This window comes from Homo sapiens, chromosome 8, assembly GCF_000001405.40.
Source record: "Homo sapiens chromosome 8, GRCh38.p14 Primary Assembly".
NCBI classification, from domain to species: Eukaryota; Metazoa; Chordata; class Mammalia; order Primates; family Hominidae; genus Homo; species Homo sapiens.
The window spans coordinates 122,834,240-122,859,577 of NC_000008.11; the positions used below are offsets into that span (position 1 = coordinate 122,834,240).

At 47.6% G+C, this 25,338-nt stretch overlaps 1 protein-coding gene across 21 annotated transcripts in view, besides 4 other annotated features; it reads left to right on the forward strand.

The window, feature by feature from the left end:
- The window catches only part of ZHX2 (zinc fingers and homeoboxes 2), a 194,132-nt gene that overhangs the window by 53,861 nt on the left and 114,933 nt on the right, over nucleotides 1–25,338 (forward strand). For 2 of the 21 annotated variants that reach the window (NM_001412807.1, NM_001412809.1), the window contains exon 2: nucleotides 17,363–17,480. The exons of 18 other annotated variants lie outside the window; for them this stretch is intronic. The gene's annotated coding sequence lies outside the window, so the exon portion shown is untranslated. Of the gene's footprint in view, nucleotides 1–1,438; nucleotides 17,481–25,338 lie in introns of those variants that run through there. One more of the 21 variants, XM_047421589.1, reaches the window with a different exon arrangement.
- Nucleotides 1,532–2,731: an enhancer, noted in NCBI's record as "CDK7 strongly-dependent group 2 enhancer chr8:123848010-123849209 (GRCh37/hg19 assembly coordinates)". NCBI's record gives its function as "activates an origin of replication core promoter dependent on BRD2, BRD4, P300/CBP, MED14 and CDK7 cofactors, with strong dependence on CDK7, by STARR-seq in HCT116 cells {active_cell/tissue: HCT116}" and the evidence as "EXISTENCE:reporter gene assay evidence [ECO:0000049][PMID:35650434]".
- Nucleotides 3,379–4,210: an enhancer, noted in NCBI's record as "OCT4-NANOG-H3K27ac hESC enhancer chr8:123849857-123850688 (GRCh37/hg19 assembly coordinates)". NCBI's record gives its function as "activates a minimal SCP1, AML or CMV promoter by ChIP-STARR-seq in primed H9 embryonic stem cells {active_cell/tissue: H9 hESC(primed)}" and the evidence as "EXISTENCE:reporter gene assay evidence [ECO:0000049][PMID:30033119]".
- Nucleotides 13,784–13,873: an enhancer, noted in NCBI's record as "active region_27859". NCBI's record gives its function as "activates an Ori minimal core promoter by ATAC-STARR-seq in GM12878 lymphoblastoid cells {active_cell/tissue: GM12878}" and the evidence as "EXISTENCE:reporter gene assay evidence [ECO:0000049][PMID:35858748]".
- Nucleotides 22,739–23,239: an enhancer, noted in NCBI's record as "H3K4me1 hESC enhancer chr8:123869217-123869717 (GRCh37/hg19 assembly coordinates)". NCBI's record gives its function as "activates a minimal SCP1, AML or CMV promoter by ChIP-STARR-seq in primed H9 embryonic stem cells {active_cell/tissue: H9 hESC(primed)}" and the evidence as "EXISTENCE:reporter gene assay evidence [ECO:0000049][PMID:30033119]".

Genomic DNA, 25,338 nt, shown 5'->3' on the forward strand with positions numbered 1-25,338 from the left:
CGTCTGTTCCAGGGCACCCTCAGTCTTCAGCGGCAGGGCCGATGAGATCCAAGTAGGAGGTTTTGGCCGGCTCCGGAAGGGATGGGGGCGGTCCTTGCTGGGGCTGCTCATAGTCCGACTTCCAGTGGGGTCCTCCGCAGAGGGGGCACGGCCTGGTGCGCTTACCTGGGTTTGGGCATTGTCTGGACCTGTGACCTTCATTGCCGCACTTGAAACAGGCGCCAGGTGGAGGTGGATTGCTAGGAGGCTTCCGTGTGGAGCTATGGCCCCGTGGGCCTGCAGGGCCCCTGATGGCAGAGGTAAGCATTCGAAACTCTGCCTGTTTTTGCCTTTTACTTTCCTCATCACGATTGTTAAAGACTTTGAAGGCTAAATTTAGAAGGTCTCATTGTGGGGTTTGAGGGCCGTCATCAAGCTTCTGAAGCTTGTGCCGAATATCGGTGGTGGATTGGGAGATGAACCGAAGGTTTAAGATAGTGGTTCCTTCTGGGCTAGCTGGGTCTAGGTTGGTATATTTTTTAATGGCTTCAGTTAAATGAGAGAGAAAAAGGGCTGGGTTTTCATTAGGACCTTGGGTGATTTCTGAAAGTTTTTCATAGTTTACCGCTTTATGGGCACCCTTTTTGAGTCCTGCAAGGAGACACACAATTATGTGGTTTCAACGGTGGCATCCAGAGGCCCTGTCTTGATAATCCCAGTGGGGGTCCTGGTTGGGGACTGCCTCCGCACCAGTAGGCTGGGCAGGAGCTTGGTGATGAATGGTATCAGCATGTGCCTGAGCTACAGTCCAGATACGGTCTTGGTCTTCTGGGGTGAGGGTGGAAGAGAGGATAACCTAGAGGTCATGCCGGGTCAGTTCATAAGACTGGGTGAGGTACTGAAATTTTCTAATATAAGAGGTAGCATCTTCTGGAAATGAACCGAATCTTTTGTTAATTTGAGAGAGATCAGTGAGGCAGAAGGAAACATGAACTCTAACAATACCTTCATTTTCTACTACTTTCTGAAGGGGGTATTCTAGCACCGGCGCTGAAGTAAGGGCGGGGCATGGGCCAAAGATGGCGCCCGAGCGAGTAAGGGCAGGAGAGAAGGAAGAAGCTGGAAGTGGTTTCTGCTGAGGGTTTGAAGGGGGAAGGGTGGTTGAGTTGATAAGCAGTGGAGGATAGGGGCGTAAGGTGGTGGGATGGGTTTACAAGCCTCAGGAGAGGGCGGTGGGGGAGGAGAATGGGTACAGGCAATACTAGAATTGTCCTGAGTAGGGGACGGTGTAGGAAAAGAAGTGGATACTGCTTACTGAGAAGATGGCGACTGGGAAGATGGCAGCTGAGAAGACAACGAGGAGGCTTGCAGGGGTTAAAGAAGATGGTTGAGAGGAAGAGGTAAGGGCTGGGAGGGGTGGACAGCAGTCTGCTGGATTTAATGAGGAAAAAGAGGTAGGGTCGGGAAGAGAAAGGCGATCAGGGTGGCAAGAATGGAGAAGGATTTGAACAGGTAAGAAAGAATTGCAGAGGTTGGGTTGTGATTTGAGAATAAAAAGGCCTGGACATAAGGAACTTCTCATTTCTTCAGTTGTCAGCAATAATTGCTTAAGTCAGTTAAAATTGTAAAGTTGAATGTTTCATTTGCGGGCCATTTGGACCCATTATTTAATTCGTATTGTGGCCAGACTGAATTGCGAAAAAGACACAGCACTTAGGGCAGATATCTTGCCTGAGGCCTAAGGTTTTTAGGGTTTTTTTTTATGAGGCAGCCTAGAGGGCTGTCCTTTGGAGTGGAAGACTGGGAATTTCCCACAACAGAGGGTAGGCTGAGAGAACAAGGAAGAGGAGAACATCCTGGACAGCAAGAGGGGGACAATAAAAGGAGCAATTGTCACTGCTGCCATTTTCGTTCCCAGAACAGGATCTAATGGCTTAGAGGCACCCCCCTAAGGCCAGATGATCAGCAAGTGCCTGACACACACCGGAACCTTCTTGGACCAACGTTGGATTTTTGGACCAGAGAAATCAAGAGAGGCCATGTGGATTTTCCCCTGTTAACAGGGCTCCCGGGAAAACTTACCAGTAGGCGAGATCAGTGACCGATGTGCATGCACAGAGAGGCAACTGGAGGCTGAGGAGCTTCCTTTGTCCGGCTGCTGTGGCTTGCTCTCCGGGGTGGAGGGGTAGGTCCACAGGGGATGCAGACCTGAGCCCCTCCCCGGTTTTGGCACCTGACTTAAGGTTCTTGTATCGGTTCGAACCCGGAGAGCGCGCGTTCGAACCAACAGACAACACGAGGCGGTGTGGAGCAACATGCTGTTTTAATGAGTTCCTGGGTGCAGGCGGGCTGAGGCCTAAAATGGCATCAGCACCAAGTGAGGACAGGGCAAAGATTTTATAGTCTCCTGTAAACAGGAAGTGTCCTAGTCTGACGTAACTGCTACGTTGTACCTGGATGGCCTCTTTCTTGATCTTCACGGGTACGTGTCTTCCAGCCAGGGTAGGTGTCTTCCGGCCGGCTTTCTTCCTGCTTCTGCTATTTTGCTGGCCCACACTGCTGGCGCAAGGCTTGCGCCTTGGTACTGGGCCTGAGAAGGGAGGAGTTATTCATCCCCTTAAGCTTTCAGGCCCCAGGGAGAATCTTACACTACTGGGCTGCATTTCCAGACAATTAGGGCATTCTAAGGCACAGGATGAGGTAGGAGGTCCGCACAAGATACAGGTCATAAAGACCTTGCAGATAAAACAGCTTGCAGTAAATAAGCTGGCCCAAACCCACGAAAATCAAGATTTTGACCAGAGTGACCCTCTGGTCATCCTCACTGCTACACTCCCACCAGCATCATGACAGTTTACAAACACCATGGCAACGTCAGGAAGGTACCCTATATGGTCTAAAAAGGGGAGGCATGAAGAATCCACCCCTTGTTTAGCATATCATCAAGAAATAACCATAAAAATGGGCAACCCCTATGGAGTAGCCATTATTTTATTCCTTTACTTTCTTAATAAACTTGCTTTCACTTTATGGACTCGCCCTGAATTCTTTCTTGTGCAGGATCCAAGAACCCTCTCTTGGGATCTAGATCTGGACCCCTTTCCAGTAACTGTATTACTGACCATCAAAGGAAACCCCATCTGAGCAATGGGTTCCAGACCCCCATCTCTAATCGTGAGCCCCATCCTGGAAGTCACTTGTAATAAGGAAAGTTATTCCATAAGCTGGTCCTGCCACTACCCCTACAGGTTTCAAACACCCACCCTCCTTTCCAAAACCAGACCCAGGTTACTGTGGTCACCTACTGGTGACTTCATTTGCATCTGGTGGTCAGATCTAGTCAGGGTGTAATTCGGCTAAATTAATAGTGCTAATAGTGCAAATTCCTAGTGCGTTTTACAGGTGGGGAATAGAGGGTGAGAATTTGGGATTTAAAACTGGCATTTCAGAAATGCTGTCACATTAGAGCTTCATTTCAGTCCCTTGGGGTGGCCACCAAGTAAACAGCTCAATTTCCATCCCTGCTGGAGGTACAGAATGCAGCATTCACACTTGCCAACAGATAATGTCTCCTGTCTTTGTCGGTGCTTAATGGCTTTTAGTAGAGTTAAGGCTGAGAAGAAAGAGACTGACTTCCTCTTATTGGGTAAAATGGAAACACTGGGGAGACAATTCCATTTCAGACAGACCCTTTCCTTCTCAGATTACTGATCCACAACCCAGCCAACTCCCTTTCAGCTCATTCAGGTAACATGGAAGACAGAGGCCACCCGCTTAGGGGAGAGGAGGGTGGAAGAGCCCGTTGAGCTTTGTGTTTGGGATTTGTCAGCAGAGAGGAGATTTGCATTTCTAATAAGAGCCCCGTCTGGGTGTGCTTTAGCCCAGTGGCTGCACATCTCTGTAGCTCTCCAAGTGCTCTCAGTTTGCAGAGCAAGGGAAGAATCTTCTACAAAAACAAATAGCTGTGGGAAGAGAGCAGAAAGCACAGCACAGTGGGGTGCCAGGGGCACTTCCTGGGTATCAAGGAACGTTTAAAAATGGTATTACATCAAGTCACCACAGACACCCTGGCGAATATTCCTCGTGTGCCCATCCCTCACATGCCCTTTGTCTATGTAAGAGAAACTCATTACATGTTCTACTCTGAGATTTGGAGATTTATTGTTATTTCTCCAAAAAGAAGTAACGAGGCATGTCAGTCCCAGCGTGTTTATACAGCAGAAAACTGGGAAAAGAAAACAAGGTTCAACAAGAGGTGAATAGTACGATAATTAAACAATTAAATAAATAAATGGTTAAATACGTGGTAGAAACCTTTCGATCATATATGAAGTCTACAGTATTTAGTAATGTGATTTTTTTTTTTTTTTTTTTTTGAGACAGAGTTCACTCTGTCACCCAGGCTGGAGTGCAGTGGCTCGATCTCGGCTCACTGCAACTTCCATCTCCCAGGTTCAAGCGATTCATTCCTGCCTCAGCCTCCCGAGTAGCTGGGACTACAAGCACGTGCCACTACACCCAGCTAATTTTTGTATTTTTAGTAGAGACGGGGTTTCACCTGTTGGCCAGGCTGGTCTGGAACTCCTGACCGCATGATCTGCCCGCCTTGCCCTCCCAGAGTGCTGGAATTACAAGCGTGAGCCACCATGCCTGGCCAATGTGATTTTTTTAAAGTGGTAAATGTTAAATGAAAAATGCAGGATTCATACTGTATATATAGTTTTTATTTAAGAAAAACACATAATGCATGATGAAATTACAGCAAAATGTTAACAAAGTTGAGATCTTTAGAGATCAAATCAGAAATTATTATTTTTCTTTCTTTCATTTCTACATGTATTCCAAAGGGTTTTTCGTGTATGATTATAGAAGTTATATGTTGGAGCAGGGAACCCCACTATACCCTCATTACTTTTTTTTTCCCTTCCTTCTTTTTTTATCTTGGGCACACACTAGAATGTGGCATTGCTCTCTGTGGGCCCATCCGCACTCCATTCAGCCAAGTATTCTATTGCTAACAGAGAACAGAGCAGGTTGCACAAGCAATGGACAAAATCTGAACATTTCCAACTTCCCTCACCCCATCATTCACTCACCCATGAGTTCATCTAAACCCTTCTTCCACTTGTTTATATTTTTAGCTGGTACAGCCTCTCGGGCCCAGTGACTTCCATGTGTTTTCCACCCTCGGTGTGAAGTGGCAGAGGCCTGCCCGGCTCGTATCCTCAGATGACCTCCTTTGGACTCCAAGGGGTCCTCCCTGTTTTTTACCTTTCCAGCATTAAGGGAACAAAATAAGAACCTCAATGATATGTTTGCAATTAGCAAAGCACACTTATGGACATAATTTTGTAGAACTATAGAACTTGGTATTGGAAGAGGCCTTAGGAACAGTTTAGGCCAGTGTTTTCCTAAAAGTCCACAATACAGGGAGTATTTCCAGAAATCACTGCAAGTTGTACAGTCCCCAGGATATGGTGGCACGGGGTGGCATGGGATCGTGGGGGGTTTGGTTTTGTTTTTGCTTCGGGCTGCAATTGGATAACAATGGTTACCTCGTTTTGTTCAGAAACTCCAGCAGTTATACATATGCCTGGTTATTTTGTTAATAGATAATTAATGTATGAGAGACAGAATCTTTTAAACTTTGTGTTGTGGAGAAGGTGGACATTGATGGGACCCTCTATTCTGAGCTAGATCTGTGAGTGGAGAGGTCACTGCCTGAAGGTTGAGAAATATATATTCTGGCACTTCACTGCCTGAAGGGTGAGAAAATGGGCTCTGAAGTGGCTCCCTGACCCCAGCAGAAGAGGCTGGTACATGGGGCCACTGGACTAGAATCCAGATTGTCTGACTCTAAGTGCCAGGCTAGCTCCAGGGCACCTATTCTACCTTTGTTTAAACCAACTTCCTGAGACGTGCTTCCTGCACTAGGAATAATTTAGTAGATTTTGAATTTGTGCATGCTCCAAGTGTGGTCTTTCCAGACTGAGTCTTCTGTTTAGAAAATGATTAATTATTGTAATTGCCTAAGTCCTTTACTCTTCCCACAGTTACTCTTTCCTAACTGTGGAAATACAGACTTCCAAGTTTGGTAGAGTGTCGTGGGAAAGAAGGTAGGTTCTGGAATCAGACACCCTAGGTTCAAATCCTAGCTCTCCCACTCGCCAGTCCCTGATCCCAGGTTTAACTTCTCTGTGCATCAATTTGCCCAACTGCAAAATGGGAATAATGATAGTATCTACCTTAAAGGGCCGTTGTGAAGATTAACCATTGTGATGAGTGCTTGTCATTACATTGCATAGAAAAAGTGCTTTACGTTAAAAGTGGCTTACATTACACTTGTCATTACATTGCACAGAAAATTCATTACAAGCACAGAAAGTACTTGTCCCATGCCTCATGCTCAGTGCATACTCAATAAATAAGAGTAGTCACCATCGTCACTGTCATTGTCATTACTGTTGGGTTTTCATGGAAGGACCCTGGCCAGAACAGTGTCAGCTTAAACTTATTTTGCTTTGCTGGACCTGTGGCCATTACTTCCTTTTCTGTGTTGTTTGCTTTATCCTTTAGAGAACAATTAAACCTCTCCCCATTGTCAGTACCCATTTTAAAGAGCAAGACCCTGAAATCCAGTGTGACTTGCTCAAGGTCACTCAGCTTGTCAGGGCAGAGTGGGAGGAAAAGCCCGAATCTCCTGTTCACCTGCCAACAGCTCTTTGCACCATGGTGCCATGTTTCCTCTGCATGCCTCCGTTCATCCTCCACACCCGGAAAACACAGAGAAGCAGGAGAATCAGCCAGATACATGAAAACTCTTGTTTCGAACACTGAGCATTGACTGTTTACCTGGCCCTTGGTTCTTGTCTTTCTTTCGTTTTAGCAGCAGCATTACGTACTGCTGCCAGGTGGAGCGTTGCTGGTTCCTGCTTCCCCTTCCTCCCTGCCTGTCTTCCCCTGACACTTCCCTGCAGGAAACCACTAGCCCTAATGAGAACTCTCAAACGGTGGAGCAGATGACAAAGGCGCTAGAGGCCTGGGGATAGCGGGAAGTCAGCCGGTGACTTCCGCCTGGTTTAAAGCCCGTGTCTTTCCTGTATTCAATCCAGTGGCGCATCATAAGAATTCCCTGAAGCATTTAGCCACCTGAAAGGCCTTCTCTAAGGCCTAGAGATCTCCCTATCCACCACTTCCTGAGCACACCTTGCAGGTGCCAGACATTTTGGGGTTGCAAAACCCACCTCCTGCCTCACAGTAGGGAGTCAGGAACAGACCGTGAACTACACAGAGTTCTTGTACATACAGGGCACTTGGAGGGTCGGGGGTTGGGGGGCAATCCAGGCAGAGGGGCAGCCTGAGCAGAGAGGCACAGTGTGAGTTCACATTTAGCAGGCAGCTGAATGCTTAATTGTTCTCTGATTGCTTTGAGGGTGTTTCAGCCCTCCAGCTAGAGAGAGTGGTTCTGGCTAGACATGGTGATGAAGCCTCCCTTTCCTCCCAAGCCCCTGCTTTTGTGGAGCTGATTGACAGCTCGGAAAGCCTCTTCATGTATGTGATTGTATTTGAGCCGCTAAGCGTCTGTGTGAGATCAGATGTTATCCCCCATTTTACAGATGAGGAAACTGAAGCCCTTAGATGGTAACTCAGTGGCTTAGCTACCCAGTGACAACCTAAACTTGTACTGAGATATGAAGTCTCAGTATGAGATATGAAGACTCCAAGTCCTCCCTAGCTCTCTCCCTTATGGTCAGCTCTGGGGAAATGTGCGCAGACATAGTGCTTGACTGTAGAGCCCACTCTTAGAGACACGAAGAAGGAACAAACAAATGAGCACGAGCTCCTGGGGCACAGTGAGAAGGGCACTGGCTTTGGAAGCGAGACCTATAGCTCAAGTTCCAGCTCTTCCAGGCATGAGTTGCATGGACTTAGGACAGTCATGTCTCTTTATGTGGGACTCGGTTTCCCTAGTTGGAAAATGAGAAGGTTGTAGGAAATTCATCTCATAAATCTATAGGCCTGGGATTGAGAACATTGGTCTTCAGCACCTTCTTCTCTCAGGGCCCCCAGTCCTACCAGGCCTGCTTCCCCAGCCTACTTCCTACCACATCCATCCCTGAGTTCTTTCCAGGAGCAAATTCTCCCAACAAACTGAACCGCTAGTTCAGTGGGAACATCAGGGAGCTTGTTAAAAAGCTGACTCCTGGCTGGGCTTGGTGGCTCACGCCTGTAATCCCAGCACTTTGGGAGGCCTAGGCGGGCAGATCAGGAGGTCAGGAGATCGAGACCATCCTGGCTAACACAGTGAAACCCCATCTCTACTAAAAACACAAAAAAATAGCCAGGGGCATGGTGGCAGGCACCTGTAGTCCCAGCTACTCGGGAGGCTGAGGCAGGAGAATGGTGTGAACCCGGGAGGCGGAGCTGGCAAGTGAGCCGAGATTGCACCACTGCACTCCAGCCTGGGTGACAGAGCGAGACTCCATCTCAAAAAAAAAACAAGCTGTCTCCCGGGGTTCACCCCAGAACCTAAAGCCTCCAAATCCCTGAGAGTCAAGGCCCAAGACTTTTCTCCCCTGAACACTCCCAGAAGTTCTGATGATCAGCCAGATTTGGCAGTCTTTGCCTGCGCTTTGGGGTTCTCAAACTCAGTGGGCACTGAATCACCTGGGAGCATGTGAAATGGCTGGGCCTCACCCCCAGAATCTCTGATTCAACAGGTTGGGGCAGGTGAGGCCCCCAAACCTGCATTTCTAACAAATTCCCAGGTGATGCAGGCGTGACACTTGGAGAACCATTGCCCCAGCTCATTTTCTGAGAGCCCAACTAGCAAACCATCAAAGGAACCTTTACTCGTGGGCCATGGTTGCAGTGGAGCATCCCTGACAGCATGGTAACTTTTTAAACAGAGACCCTCGAAATGATTGAGATAATTACAGCAACAACTGCTATTTACTCAGATCTGTTACATGCCAGACTCTGTGTTAGATGTCCTAAATCAGTATTTCTCATTATTTTACGGAGCTTGGTGATTCAAAAATCAAGGATCAATGAGATTAAGTCATCATCTAAGAGTATACTTGTTACAAATGTGATCAGGACTTTCTAGAGCAAAACGTGGGCTATTTTCTTTAGCTCACTAGGCCTCTCCTTGTCATCCGAGCCATGAGTGGCTCTATTATGGGAATTTCAAACCAGGTTCAGACAGGGGTCATTACCCAGGACTTTCTGGTTAGAGGAGCCTTTCATTAGTTCCCCACAAATTGTATCCTACTGGTAGTGGCCTTTGGCCCCCACCGTGAGACAGCACTGCTGAGTGCTCACTTTTAAGGGACCCCTCGTGTAAACAGGGATTGTTGCATCTATAGCATTCTGAGCCATTTGGGTGGAAACGGTGAACTGCTGCCGGATCTGGGGAGACCCCACTTTAGTGGGTTTCTGCCTCGGTTCTGGGCTGGCTGATGTTCTGTTTGGCTGTAAGGACCTTGGGAAAGAACTGTTGGCACCGGATCGCAGAGAATGTTCACCAGCTAGACGTGAAGGAGCTTATGTCATGACTGAAACACTTCCAGCTGGTGGGTCTTAGTCAGGGAGCTTCTTTCTCCCTAATTTCTAAAGATTTGTCTGGTGTATAATAGGAAGCTGATAGATTTGTAAAGAAGTATAAAACACAGTAATTAGAGAGGAAATACAGGTGGCTGTGAGAGCTTTTTCTACACTTCGCTTTTTGTTCTCACCCTTCACACACACACACACACACACACACACACACATCATGCTTCTGATTTTCTGCAGTTAATTTTACATCCGCAAGGACCTCAGGAAGTCCTTCAAGCCACCTATGCCTTTCTTGGGGCATCTCCTACCACGTCTGCCTGTGTTCCTCCCTATGCAAGGACAAGGAAGCCAGGAGGCGGGAAGGAAAAAGGGAACTGCCCTGCAGGAATTGATCTCTTGGGGTGGCCAAAGGCCTCCACGCAGAGCTTGGAGATGCTCAGAGGCTTCAGAGTGCTAATTCTTTTGGTTTTGAAAGGGTAGACACATAGGTCTTAGACAGGCTCCATCCACACCCTCGAAGGCAGCTGGCAGCTCGGAAGAATCAGCTGACATTGCAATTGGTGTTGAAACTTGACGACGCTAGTCCAGGGTCCACTTATTAACCATGCCACCTTCTCTGAGCTTCGCATTGCGAATCTGACCTGCTCTTCTCCCAAGAGAGATTGTGAAGGCAAAAGAGATCATGGATATAAAAGTATCCCTGCAGTCTGGGATCTGGAAAGAACTCTGGGAATCTAGAGGTTCTGGTTTACTAATGAGAGAACTGGGGTCCGGAGAGAGGAGGTAACTTGCTGGAGGTCACAGATGAGTGAAGTGACGAGGGAGGTAGAAGGAGGTCAGGGTGAGGGAAGACTTCTGGGAATCTTTCTAGACAGAGCACCCCCATCAGCTTCTAAAACAGAGCACTTTATGACTACTATTTCTCACTGAGTCTCTCTCTCTCTTTCTCTCTCTCTCTCTGTGTCTGTCTGTCTGTCTCACACACACACTTTTTGGTTTAAATAGCAGAAAGGCAATGACTGCTCTTTACAGGAGAGAATCACACTCTTTTGCACTGACTGCAAGGAAACCTACTGGGCATCATTCAACTTTGCAAGTTAGAACATAAGACATGAAGTAGTAAAGGAAAACGCTGAAGAGAATCTACTGCCCAAACTAGCTTGCATGTGTGGGGCTTGGTGGCCTTACAGTTGCCTAATACCCCCTGCCCAACCGTATCATCCCTATGATTTTCCACAAATAAACACATTCCTGGTCTCCCTGTGCCCAAACACACATAGGGCAGAACCAAAGAACATGGGCTACAAACACAGACAGACAAAGAGAATTGGAATTTTATTTCTCACCAGCACTGTGACCTTGGGCAAATTACTTAATGTCTCTGAACTTCAGCTTCCTCATCTGGACAATAATAATACTTCCTAATGTTGTCGTGAGGATTAGCAAAGGTAAAGCCTAAAAAGTGCTGAAATACAAGGGTTGGCACAAAGTAAGGTTAATAAATGTTAACTGCCGCTATTGAAAATGTTGGAGATGATATTGAAGATCACATTATTGTCATTTTCATAAGAAAATTAACTTGTTTATAATTTTAATGAGATCTCACTAGGCTTCTAACAATCTGACTGCATAATTAAAATTCTGGTTTTCTACCCAGGAAAGAACTAATATTGTCCAGGTTTTAAGCACACTCTAGCTGGGCTGTTATCTCTGGAATACTGAGATGTTGTCACGTGGTCTCCAATAATACCTTGTGTATATAAATATCCTTATATCTGAAAAGCATATAAAATTACAAACAATAAGATGTACAGATGAAATGGAACTAGAAGGCATGGAAACAAGAGTGTGAACACAAAAGCCCAATTATAAGTGGGGTAAAAGTTAAAGGTGCTGCACTTTGCAGTCTACAAAGTGCTTTTTATGTCCCCACTCCTGGTGGCCCCACAGCCAGCCTAGAAGGTAGACATTACTCTGCCCATTTCACAGGTAAGGAAACCGAGTTTCAGCCAAGTGGCAGGACCAGCATCCGGAGAACAGTGGTAGATGCTGAGTCAGAAAAGACAGGAAAGAGCCACAACACATAGGGCCTGGAGGACTTGGTAGAGCAATTTGGATTTTGTTTAGGGTTCAGTGGAAAGCCTTCAAAAGTTTAAGCGGGAGAGCGCTGCGACCTGATCCACATTTTTAGATCACTGCCCAGAGTGGAGAAGGCAAAAGTGGAGACAGGGAGGCCACTTGTGAGGCTGCTTTGGAAGTTCCAGTAAGAGATGAGGGCAGTGCCCGTGGAGGTAAAGTAGACAGATTCAGAGATACGTAGAGCATCTAAAGACAGCCTTACTGAGGATTGGATGTAGATGTTGGCAGAGAGGGGAGGAGGCATGGTTTCCCTGTGGGTTGCTGGGTGGTTGATTTAGGACATCTTCAGGAGGAACCTGTTGGAGGTTGTGGGGAGGGGAGTTAGGGGATCCTTGCAAACTTGTCAGGTTACAGTGACCTAGGCACGCACTTTTGCAAAGAGTCAGGTTCCCCAAACATGCGTCCTTCTCTGGCGGAGAGCAGGTCTTATTCTCTTGCTCCTGGGCATTGACTAAATGCTTTCTGTGAACTGAGTGAGCTAGAATGCTGCCGCTGGCTCTGAGAAGCCCTGTATTCCTTCTGCCACCAGGGAACCAGGGAGCAAGTAATGACCCTTCTCAGAATGTTGGGTCTGATACAAGAAACAAACAAAAACCCCCGATGTCCTACCTTCTAATGTTTCAGACTTTGTGTATTTTTTTTTTTTTTTTTTTGCCAGTCTCCATGGGATCTTTCCTCTGCTCATGTTTGAAAGTGATTCTCTTTTTTTTTTAAATGTTGTTACTCAGGCCTTAAATAACCTTTGTCCTATGATGGCTTCTGAAAGGATGAAGCCTAAGTTAGTGCAAAAGTAACTGCAGCTTTTGCCATTGAAAGTAATGGCAAAACTGCAATTACTTTTGCACCAACCTATAGAATTATAAGATCAACACCAACAATAGGCATTTGTAGAGTGTCATTCCGTTAAAAGACCTCTCTTATATACATTCCATGATTTTAGCCTCATGAAAATCTAAGGTAAGATAAATGGTGTGTTTAGCTCTATTTGAGAGGCCAAGGAACGTAGCAGCCACGAGCATGTGAACTACAATAATAGCATTAAAACATTAAAAGAGTTGAGCTGGATAAGGTACTCAGAACAGGGCCTGCAATATGAATGTTAGCTGATGTTGTTGTTATTGCGATTAGCCTCCAGATAGAGAAACTGAGGCATGATGAGGCTGTGATGTCCCCACGCTCAGTAGTGGAATCAATTTCAAGTTGTGTTCCCAGATGCCACCCTCAGAAGGAATCTATGTTCCAAAGGGACTTACATTTGCACAGGAAGCCTCCTGCCAGGGCTGGGTCCTTGTGAAATTCTTCCGTCCTCTGTGTGAGCTTCCCCACCTCTCCCCCAGCCAGAAATCTCTGCACTTCTCCCGTCAAGTCTGCCTCCCCACTGAGGGGGGTTGAGCCCACTGTCCAGGACCACTCTACCCTGTCCTCCCCGCCCTGCCTCCTGCCCCAGGTGGCCTTCCCTCTGCCTGTCACCTTCCAGTCCTCCACCCAGTGACCTTCTCCAACAGGTTTCTCCAATTGGGAGCACCCCGGGCCCTGATGACAGGCACGTCATGTCATTGAGTCCAGGTCCCTCCTCAAGGGTGGGTCTTGGCAACAGAGGCCTTGCCTTGTACCTTGTCACTCTCCATCCCTATGTGCCAGGCCCAGTGCCAAGCCCAGAGCAGGTGCCCTGACACACTGTACAGCTGGCTTCTAAAAAACAACAAAGGTGGTCATCACCAGAACCCACCTTCGCACATGGGGGATGTGCTCATGATGACTGTCCCCTTGGGGAACATGCCCTTTATTCCAAAGCTGGCGCCAGGGCCCAGGGCATCCCAAGTTCCTGGAACGCCTGAGAGTACCTCACCACCAGCACCCAGCACCACACTCTCCTCTCTGGTGTTGACCAGTCTCCGCCCTCTGAAGGTGGCTGCAGTCACGCCTGAGGAACCAGGAGTGTGACTTCCCTTCAGAAACAGTTGAGGGGAGACAGGCAGCACAGGAGGCCCTTAGACAGTAATGAACCGAGCTTTACTCTTCACATCATAGTACAACTCTGAAGATGGCTCCAAACATGGCCTTCCAAACTCATCTTGGACAAGGGCCACATCACTGAGGTAAATAAAGGTAGAAAGTCCGCCGCAGGGAGCTCTTTCAAACAATGGCTCTCCTTTGGTCGGCTCAGTTGAGTGAGCATGTTTACATTTTGCCCTCAAAATATATTTTGAGGAATGAATGAGTGAGTATAGCGGTGAAACCTCATCATCTCATAGCCAAAGTGTGGGTTTGAGAGACAGCGAGTGTGTTGTTGCGTCTCTGTGTGTGTGTGCGCCTGAAAGAGAGAAGGGTCTCCGAACCAGAGACGGTCTCTTTTTGGAGGCAGCCCCCAGGCCACAACACCTCTTTTCAGTTGTCACTGAAGAAGGCGAAGAAGGCAGCCAGAGTCAGCCACAACGCTCATTCCTTTGCTTCTTGCTCTCCCCCATGGCCTGCAAATTAGTTTCAGCCCAGTGGCTCCCTCCACTGACCTGAATTTAATTATTTTATTCTTTATAAACGGAACACTTCCCCCATCCCCTATTCTCAGCCCCCCACCACTCCCCAGATTAACTGACCACCCCTCATTAAGGGTTCTGAGAAGTCGGTTTTGTGTGGGAAGACGTTTGGGTCCCATTCACAGGCCTTGTTTGCAGGTCCCACTGTCCATCTCTGTTCAAATAATGAAGATTTGACCAGGCAGGGGGTCAGGGAGGATGTTTTGCCTGGATTCCCATATTTGCTTTTCATCCAGTAAAATATTTTCCCGGGCATTGGTGGGAGAGGGAATGGACAATCGCTGTTTCTTCAGAGAGCAATTTCTAGTTGGCTGGCAGCGGTTCTGAGGCCGGCAGCGTGCCCTGCCCCTGGCATTCCTCCGATCTCGGTCCTCATGGCCAGGGTGGGGCTGAAGCCAAGAGATTTTCAGCATGGGTATCATGGAAAGAGGAGGCTGTTTCGGAATCCAGACTCTACGCAGTCCTGAGTGATTGTGATGAGTGCTGAGGTGCCACTGAAACCTGTTTACCGAGGCTGCTACCCACTAGGGTCTCTTCGCGGCTGCTTGCCTGTGAACTAAAACCGCCAGGTTGGATAGAATTCTCAGCAAAGCCCTGAATCCACTGGTGGCTACCAAGAAACATGGGATGGCCAGGCAGGGACCTTTCTGGGTTTTTCAAGGTGGGAAGGTGAGAATCGATAGTGGGGTGGGCCTCTGGCCTCCCTGTTGGAGGCCCAAGAGAGCCTGGCACTGCCATTCACCAGCTCTGTTCCTTGTGGCTCTGAGTCTCCGTTTCCCCATTGGAGATGTGAAGTTGATGCTGCCTACCTGTGGGTGAGTGGCTCCGGAGCTAGACATTCCCAGCTCTGCTACTCACTTGCTGTGTGGCTTTGGGCAAGTTGCTTACCTCTCTATGCCTGGTCTTCCTCATTGTATTAGTTTCCTGGGGTTGCTGGGACAAATTAGTACAAACTGGGTGGGTTAAAGCAATAGAAATTTATTCTGTCACAGTTCTGGAGGCTGAGAGTCTGGAATCAAGTGCATGCAAAGCCCTATTCCCTCTGAAGGCTCTAGGGAACATCTTTTTTTTGCCTCTTCTGGCTTCGGGTGCTGCTGGCATTCCTTGTGGCTGCATTTCTCCCATCTCTGCCTCTGTCTTCACGTCACCTTCTCCTGTTCTGTGGTTTCTCCTCTGGATGTCTCAGGTGGACACTTGCCATTGGATTTAGGGCCCATCAGGATAATCCAAGATGATCTTATCTTGAGATCCTTAACTTAATTACATCTACAAAGATTCTTTTCAAATAAGCTCGCATTCATGGGTTCTGAGGACTAGGACATGGACATATCCTTTGGGGAGCCACGATCAACCCATTACACTCATCTATCAAATGAGGATGATATCGGTGCCTACCATGTTATGGAGTTTACATGAGCTAATGTGTCTCATGCCCCGCACAGAGCAAACGTTTGTTCTTTTCATAATCTGTACTGAGCCACAATTTTATAATTACTACGATCATCATCACCATCATCATAGCCAACTTTCATTGAGAGGCTTCCCAAACTTAACACGTCTAAAATTAACTCTTGACTCTTTCCCAGTCTTCAATAGCTCAGTAAATAGTACCTCTATTAACCCCAATGCACAGGCCAACATCCTGCAAATTATCCACATTTCTTCTTTTTCTCTCACACTTCATTCCATCCATAAATCTTGGCTGTTCTGTCTCCAAAATAGATCTCCAACCCAACCACATCCTCGCAAGAGCCCCGTGTCGCACCCCCCCTCAGGTGCCCTTCATGTTTTGATGGGTGTGAGTGACGCTCCTGGATTTATATAGGACACACGTGAGCAGCTACGTCAGTGATGCTGCTTCTCACTGCCTCTACCACTGTCCCCCATTCAAGACACCACTACCGGCCGGGCGCAGTGGCTCATGCCTGTAATCCCAGCACTTTAGGAGGCCAAGACGGGCAGATCACCTGAGGTCAGGAGTTCGAGACCAGCCTGGCCAACATGGCGAAACCCTGTATCTATGAAAAGTACAAAAAAATTAGCCAGGCATGGTGGTGCACACCTGTAATCCCAGCTACTCGGGAGGCTGAGGCAGAAGAATCGCTTGAGCCTAGGAGGCAGAGGTTGCAGTGAGCCGAGATTGCACCACTGCACTCCAGCCTGGGCAAGAAAGCGAGACTCTGTCTCAAAAAAAAAAAAAAAAAAATGCCACCACTACCTCCCACATGGATCACTGCAGTAGCTGTTGGCTGTCCTCTCACCTTCATCTCTTGCCCCCCAACACCCCCTCATGTCCTGCACATACCCGTGACTGTCTACTCTCCTTGGAGCTACTTTTTAAAAACATGGGTCAGATTTTGTTTCTCCTCTGCCCCAGGCCTCCACTCATTCCCCTATCTCACTCAGAGCAAAAGCCAAGTCCTCCCAGTAGCCCCTGAGGCCCCACATCCTCACCTGCCCCTCTGTCACTGTGCTGCAGCCCCTGGACCTGGGGCTCGCCCTGGGACACAGGCCACCTGTTTTGGCATTTGCGCTGGCTGTGTTCTCAGCCTAGAACACTCTTTTCCCAGCTATCATTGTGGTCTTCTCCCTCACTGCACTAGCTGCTCACATGTTTCGCATGGAACTCCAAGGGTGCCATTCACACCCACCAAAACGTGAAGGATGCCTGGGGGGTGCGAGACGGGGGTCCTGGAAGGCTGTGATTAGGCTGGAGATCTATTTTGCAGACAGAACGGCCAAGATTTATGGATAAAATGAAGTGTGAGAGAAAAAGAAGAAAGGTGGATAATTTGTAGGATGTTGGCCTGTTCATTGGGGTTAACAGAGGTACTATTTACTAAGCTGTGGAAAACTGGGAAAGAGTCAAGAGTTAATTTTAGACGTGTTAAGTTTGGGAAGTCTCTCAATGAAAGTTGGCTATGATGATGGTGATGATGACTGTGGTGATTATGAAGCTGTGGTCCTGCTTAAAAGATACCCCCTGCAGGAGGCCCTTCCCTGACAATCATAGCTCAAACAGCACCCCATCAATCTCCATCCCTTTATTCTGGTTTTTCTTCAAAACATTTAGTGCAAGGTCAGATTGTCTGCTTTCCCCATTACACCCAAGCTCCATGAGGTGAAGGACTTTGTTTTGATTCCTCCAGGATCCTCAGTACCTGGCACATGTGAGCCACATCATCAACATTTCCTGGATGAGGGCATTATTCTGGGCCAGGAACTGGCTTTGTATGCATGACCTCATATCTCCCAGCAGCCTATGAGGTCAGTACTGTAATATCCTTATTTGCCCGGGGCTTGGGGGCTCAGAAAGAGTAAATAAATGTTCCCTGGCTACCCAACTAAGTCAGTGTTAGCAGCAGGATCTGAACCAACTCGTCTTACTCCAGAACCCACTCTCTGAATCACCATCTGTCATGAGGCAGAAATGAAAGACTGTAAGTGAAAGACATTTGGAAATGGAAACGCATTGCGTGAAAGTACCAGAAGGACAGCGGCCGTGCTTGCAACGTCTGAGCAGATCCCTCCGAATTGATTTGGTTCTCCTTCCTGTTTAATTTTTTAAATTTTGAGTACTATTTTTGCTGCCTCCTGGATGATACGACTTGAGGTGGTAAGAAAGGTGTCTGCAAAGCATCGTTCAGTGACTGTCAGACTTTGATGGCCCGGAATGCTCTAGAAATGGGGCATACAGGTGCGTGAATGTGTCCATTATTCCAAAAACAAATCAGTTTACTTCTCTGCCTTTAATAAACATGGCATACTGATTAGAATCAAATATTTCAGTATGGAGGGTGTGCAGAGAGCATTCATCTGAGTCAAGATTCATTTATTCCCAGCTCTATCACTAAAATACCTTGCGGCTTTAAATAATAGTGACTCTTATTTCTGAATCCTAGAAGGTGCAAGGCACATTCAAAGTGCTTTACACTTATTAACTCATTTAATTCCCCAAACCACTCTTGGAAGTAAATACTCTTACTAACACCGTGTAATAGTAGTCACCGAGACACAGAGATGTTAAATCACTTAGCCAAAGTGACACAGCTAATCATCGGCAGGCCCAGGATGTGAACTCAGGCAGTCTTTCCTGGGGACAGTTCCTAACCAAACTGATTCCCTATTGTGACTCTCAGCTTCTTTATCTGTAAATTTCAGGGAATGTACTCTGTCATAGTTTCCAGCTCGAAAAAATCCATGCTTTTGAGACCGAGAATCTGGGAGGAGTTTTGAGTCATGGGCGTGAATGCAAAAGGAGAGTAAGAGAATGGGACGAGACGGGGCAGAGCCGAGAATATTACAAAGAAGGGCTAAGCTATGGGCTTCCTTTCTGTCTGGTTCTTGCTTGCATCTTGCCATGCTATCATTTGCTACTTTTCTTGCCTCGGTGGTTTGTAAAAAATAAGAGCCCCGGGTGCATGTGTCCCCTCATTCACTCTGTGTGGGCAAAGGAAAATGAAGCCCTTATGGTCACCTGGTGTTTCTAACTTTAAAACAGCCTCATATCTCTTATTTAATTCACACAGAAATCCTGTGTGCAGAGCCAAGGATATTCCCATTTTATAGACAAGGAAATGGAGAAAAAGGTTGAGAAAACTGATCTTCCAGTCACATTTACCTCTTCCTGCCTCCCACAAGTGCTTCCTGGGTCCTATCCCAGGGTTTTTTTGTACTTTACTGATTTTAACAAATACAGCCTTTGATCACTCTCAGCTACCTGCCACACTGGTGCCATCACTAGGTGAGTTATAAAGACTCATCATCATGATACTCTCCATGATTGGGAGCATTCTATGTGCCAGGAATTTTTCTGGGGGCTTTTCACATCGTATTTCCTTCTGATCCCCACAACTCTCCTTTGAGATACACAGTGTTATGATGCCCATTGTACAGATGAGGTGAGGTGCTTTAGGCCACACAGCCCCAGCCAACACATGCAGACATCACATAGCTAGGAAATGCGAATCCAGCATCTGAATGTGTTAGCACAGAGGGTCCCCTCCCTGGATAAAACCTTCTGGAACTCCCGGTCATGTAAGACAATGTCCAAATTCCTCAGTGTGGTGTGCATGCACCCCTGCAGCCACTGCCCTGCCCCTCGAGTTGGCTCCACCTTCCCTCGTCTCAGCCACGCTCAGCCAGGCTGCTCCTTTCAGCCGTGCCCTTGCTCTGGACCTCACCCCTCCGCTCCCCTCCTTGGAATTCATACTCTCCCACCCTTCTCTGGCTGGCAATTTCCACCCATTCTTCATGGACGAGGACAAACACCGCCTTCTCCATGCAACCTCCTCCCACCCACTATCTCCCCATGCCCTTTTCCCCACCCCACTGTCACCCCTCCCAGGGCACCTGCACCACTCTCCAACAAAGTTACAGACACCTAACACAGCCCATACTCCTTGGAATGTTGAACAGTGAGGAACAGGGAACGTCTGCCCCACCTAAGGGCATCTGATGACTCTTTTTTTAACACATCACTCCAGCACAACAAAACGTCTTTGTGGCATGGATTTGAACCACGGGCCACCAGCCTGAGGCTCCTGAGAGCGCCTCAGTGAATGGTATACCTCTCTACATAGTCAGTGATCTACATGGTCAGGCCGAGCCTCCCGGGCCCCTGAGGACTGGGAGTGGCTACTGGACCAGCTGAGGCGTGCTAGGTGGCCCTTGGTCTCCCCTCCTCTCACAGCATGCCTGGTGTCTCCTGGACTTCCAATGCAGGGCCACATACCTCTTGAGGAGTGGGGAAAAGGTCTGCACTGTGATGTGGAACCCTGAGTCCTCACCCCACACTTGGATTCAAATCCAAGGACTTGTACGAATGCAGCTTTTCTGGCCCTTGGTTCCATCATCTACAACATGATGGGATAAATTGGGAGTGCTCCAGGGTTCCACCCAGTGGGAGCATTCAGGCACTTCCTTTATTTCCCTCCTTGTAGATAGGAGAAACTGAGGCCCAGGAGCAGGGGACTTGCTCAGAGCCAACCTAGTTGGTGGTGGGACTGGAGCTCCCACTCTGGCCAGATCTGCAGCCCTCCACCTTGCTCCCATGTCCTGCCTCTTCTCCCCAGCCTTCCAGTCCCTCGACGCCTCTTTCCCTCCTTCCACCCTGACTGTGCTCCTCACCTGTGGGACATGAAGGTCAGCCATGCCAAGAGTTAGTCTTGAATCAGAACTAAGATGGCAAGTCCCGAGGCACTGGCCACCTGAGTGAACTCACTGTCATTAAGCAGGCAAGACATCCTCTAGCTACCTCCTGTTTGAATCCTATGCATCTTTCAATCCAGCTCCCATGGCACCTCCAACCAGGCTGCCCTTCCAAGGCACCCCATAAGAGACATCATCTTAATAAGCCCTCCCACCCATGACACTGTATAGTCCCCCTGTGGGCGTTTTTACTTACTTTTAAATACTTGTGTGTACATCATAGCTCCTCTACATGATTTCAAGCTCATTGAAAGCAGTAGCCAAATAGCCTCCATTTTCCGATGTCTACCACTAGCCTCTGCTTCAACACCTGATACAGTATTCTAAGTGTTGGATACATATTTCCGGAATAAATGTTATCTTCATTCAGAATAAACAGTAAGGTATATAAGCATCCATACATTCCAGGGTCAGACTGGGTGGAATCTTAGCTCTGGCCTCTGTGCACTGTGGGACCTTAGTCAAGTTATTTAACACTTTACTGCCTCCATTTCCTCATTTGTAAAACAGGGATAATCATAGTGCTTGGCTAACTGGGTGGCTCTGGATTAAATGGGTGATGCATGTAAATGACGTGTTTAATAGAGGCCAGCATAAAGTTGACTCCATAAGTGAAGTTGTAACATTTTTGCAATTCTACATACAAGTTTGTATGTGATTTTTTGAAAATATATTATACCACCTTGCATTTCAAGTTTGGCTTTAGCTAGCTGCCAAGCCCTTCCCATCCTTGCATTTTCTGCAACTGCCTCACATAGGCACTGGCCGGGTCAGAGTGTGCCCCTAGCTACACTCTTTCTTGGAGCAAGGGGGCAGGGAAGGGAGAGATGGACTTCCAAATCCCTGTCTTAACTGCGCGCCAGTTTGGGGCTCGTGGCCACATTAAGTGCTCTTACTCAATTCATGTGACTTGACAAATTTGGAATGTGTTAGGGAGAGAGAGTTTTTCCAGCTATGAGTCAGTACATTTATGCGCTCACACACACATTTTTTTCTTTAAAAAAAGAAGTTTAGCGAGAATCATTTATGAGTATAAAGTGGAAACCTCTGGAAATTTTATTTAGACCCAGAAGGCAAGTAATATTTAAAACATTTAATAAAGGGTTTGAAACAAGATAGAATTGGGAGAAAACACAGCTAGCTGCCTTCTCCTTCTGTATTCCCAGCTACCATGTTGTACACAGGAAGATCCAAATTACATGAGTTTAATCTCATACCTCTTGAATACTCAGATTTTTGCTAAACAAGGTCAGGAAATAAGAGATGTGTAAAAGCAGGGAAGCTGAACTGGCATCTATTAAGCACCTAGATGTACCCCATGAGCAGGGAACATATCCCAAGTTCAAGAGGCTATATGGGGGGAAATGAAACAGTTTGATTCAGACAGGCTTGGGTTCAAATCACAGCACGTCACTTTTATAATATTATTTAGTCTCCATCATATTCCATTTTATGGATGACAAAACTGAGGGTCAGAGAAGATCAAGTATTTTGTTTCTGGACTCAAAGCTCTTGTGTGGTAGAAATTGCATTCTAAACTGAGTCTGTCAGTCTCTAACCAAGAATATGCTATCTCCCTATGCTAAAGAAAGTGGTTTCAAATTATTGTTCCTCGGAGTGGAGTTTCCATACCAAGGAGGGAGGCAGACACACCCATTGTCAAAGATGATGTCTGCAGATCCTAACCAGGCACAGCTTTCTGGGAGACCGGTGTCCTCAGCCACTTTCTGACACTTGCCTTTTAGGGATTATGGAGAACCCAGTTCCCCCAGGTTGATCTCCTTACTGTTGTTTATTTTAAAGAAGGAAACCACCACCCACCCAAAGGGCTTCTGTTTTCCAGTTCACTCATATCTCTTCTGTGAGGGCTCACTTTCATAGACTCCCAATCTTAAGGGAGCTGTGTATTTCTCTCAGAAACAGGAGCCGTAATCAAAGGTGTATTCATCTCTCTCACATCTGCCAGCAGCCGTGTTGGAGCCAGAGTTCCCTGAGGCCTGGCAGGAGGAGCACAGGCCAGGTACCTGGGAGAATGTTTCCCTCAACGAATCAGATCGCCCTATGGTGGCCCTTCTAAAGATCGCAGGGTGCCTGGTGGTGCTTCTCAGATTGCTGGGGGATCTGAAAGGGGCCCGGAGGTGAAAAGGACACATCTTTCCATCTTATAAATACTTTTGAGGGCCACCATGTTCCAGGAACCGCAGACACAGAATCCAACTCTTCAGTGGCTTCCCAACACACACAGGTAAAGGCAGAACTTCTTGAAAGGACTCCAAACCCTGGGAAGATCTGGCTCTGCTCTTTCTCTGGCCTTCTCGGCTCCAGCCACCCTGACAGCTGCCAGTCTCTGGGGTCCACCGTGCCCCTCCCGCCACAGCCCACACATGCCCTTCGCCGCTCATTCAGCTTTTCTTCCTCTCCCTGCCTGGTGTGCGCTGCCTGTCCTCCAGGTCTCGCTGCAATCTGCTTTATCCTCCTATGCCTCTCTGTGCAATCTTGCCACATTGCACAGTGCTTGAGTTAGCGCAATAATGTCATTGAAGTCTTTAACTCTAGCCTGACTCTAAGGCCAGGGTTCACCTAATCTCCCCATAGCCTGGCCCCTAGTCAAAGCCCCATAAAGAGTTGTTGAAAGAATGAAGAGACATCAGTGAGCAAAATAGATGCTGCCCTTGGCAAGTGACACTGTCACAAACAGAAAAAAAAAAAAAAATAGATGCTGCCCTTCCCAATGCCAGACACATACATCTTCCTAGAGTGTCAGTTGTCAAATTGTACTTGACAACTTTGAGGGAGAAATATTTTGAAACAAATATGGGTCAATTCTAGAGTTGAATTCAGTATTCTCGTAAATGTCCAAGATATCAAGCTGCATCTACACACCCCAGGGCAGCTGGGAACACAGGCTCTTCTGTACTCTTGGGGAATCTCAGTTGAAGTTAGGTTGTGGCTGGAGGGAGAGATGGCCCAGTTTTCCACAACTCCAGTTACATAGCCAACATTGAAGAGTCATTGTGGGGAAGAAATGGAATGATGATTCAGTCAGGCCTGAGTTCAAACCTCCATGTTGAACTTTCTACTCTTATGACTCTGGGCAACTTTTTTAATCTCGCAGGTTCAGGTTTACCATCTGTAGAATGGGTATGTGAATGCCTGCACTTCACAGTTGCTGTAAAAAAGGGAGATAAGGCTTAAGACCCACCCCAGGGCCTCCTGGAACAGAGCCATGTGCTCCGGAAGTGGTGGCTGTTATGTGAGCAATTTTGCAGATGAGCAAATGACATATGCGTTTTATTCCATATGACCAGCATTTTCTGCCCTTCTGAGTGAAAGGCTACTGTTAGGGACCAAGGTGAAATATTGCCTGGAACAAAGACAGGTCACTGAAGACTGCACTTCTGGCTTGTGGAGTGAGGGCCGAGCTCGGGCCCCACGGAAGCCGCTTGTAGCTTTCCACCTTTTTTGAGCTTGACCTTGCTCTTATTTCTGGTCTGGGCTGGCTCCAGCCAGGGTTGGCTTCTCTGTCTCTCTCGTGTGCTCCCTGGCTGCACTCACGCCTCTCCCTCAGTTTGATGCTATCACCTTAGGACATCATGGCCTTTTTACTAGACCTGGAGCTTCTTACTCGTCTGCTAAATGTTTGCTGAATAAGAAGTGGAATGGGATAAACTTCGTAAGAGGGAGTGACCCTCGGGGAGGGCATTTCTCTTCTACAGGCCTTTAAAGTTGCTTCCCTGGTTCGCCCCCTTCTGGTGCCTGGCACAGGCTTAAACTAGGCCAAAAGGGAATATGCGGGGACTCATGGGGAAAATGCCACTGGCTTATTTTTCCTTATTGTGATTTTCTCCATATGACCAGTAATTTCTGGCAAAAGGAGTCCTGAGCCAGTAAGGTTGGAAATGTGTGTGCCTGTGGAGCTCAGAGGGCACTAAAAAGCCCTGTGATTCAGGTTAACTCCTTTTTTTTTCTTTCTTTCTTTTTTTTTTTTTTTTTTTTGAGACAGAATCTCACTCTGTTGGCTAGGCTGGAGTGCAGTGGCACGATCTTGGCTCACTGCAACCTCCATCTCCCAGGCTCAAGCAATTCTCCTGCCTCAGCCTCCCCAGTAGCTGGGATTACAGGCATGTGCCACTATACCCAGCTAATTTTTGTATTTTTAGTAGAGACAGGATTTCACCATGTTGGCCAGGCTGGTCTCAAACTCCTGACCTCAGGTAATCTGCCCACCTTGGCCTCCCAAAGTGCTGGGATTACAGGCATGAGCCACCACGCCCAGCCCAATTCAGGTTAACTCCTAATGAGAGCCACTGCCTTCCACGTGCAGGAACAGAAGGCTCCACTCGGCATGCACTGTGGCCTTGGATTCCCCTCCACAACCCAAGGAGGCAGCTCTGGTTAGAGCCCTGCCCAGCTGAGGAGGAAACCAAGGTCCCGGAAGAGAAGTGATTGGCATAAGGACACAGAACACGTGTGAGAGAGAAACGGGACCAGACTTGGCCCTGCAAGACTAGCGCTCCTTCCAGCATGCTGCTTAGTATCTCCTGGGGTCTAGCGGGGTGATGGTGCAGTACTGGGTTCAAGGATAAATGGAGAAAACAGAACTGATTAAGTGAGAGTCCCAGCTCTGAGAATAATTCACTGTGCAGCCCCAGCCAAGTCACTCTGCCCTTGTGTACTCCAGTTGCTGCCTAGTCAGTTGAGGATAATAATGGGTATTGTCAATAACAAGAACAGCTAACACCTGCTCACACTCTTCTAAGCACTTTATATGTATCACCTCCCTCAATCCTGGAGGGGAAGGCGGCATTAATTAGGGTAAGAGTGAGGCAGATCATTTGAGAGAGGGACTAGCGTGGCTATGTGGCTGTGGAGCATGATGGGTTCAAGAAAGGAGAAGAAGGCAGTGAGCCAGGAA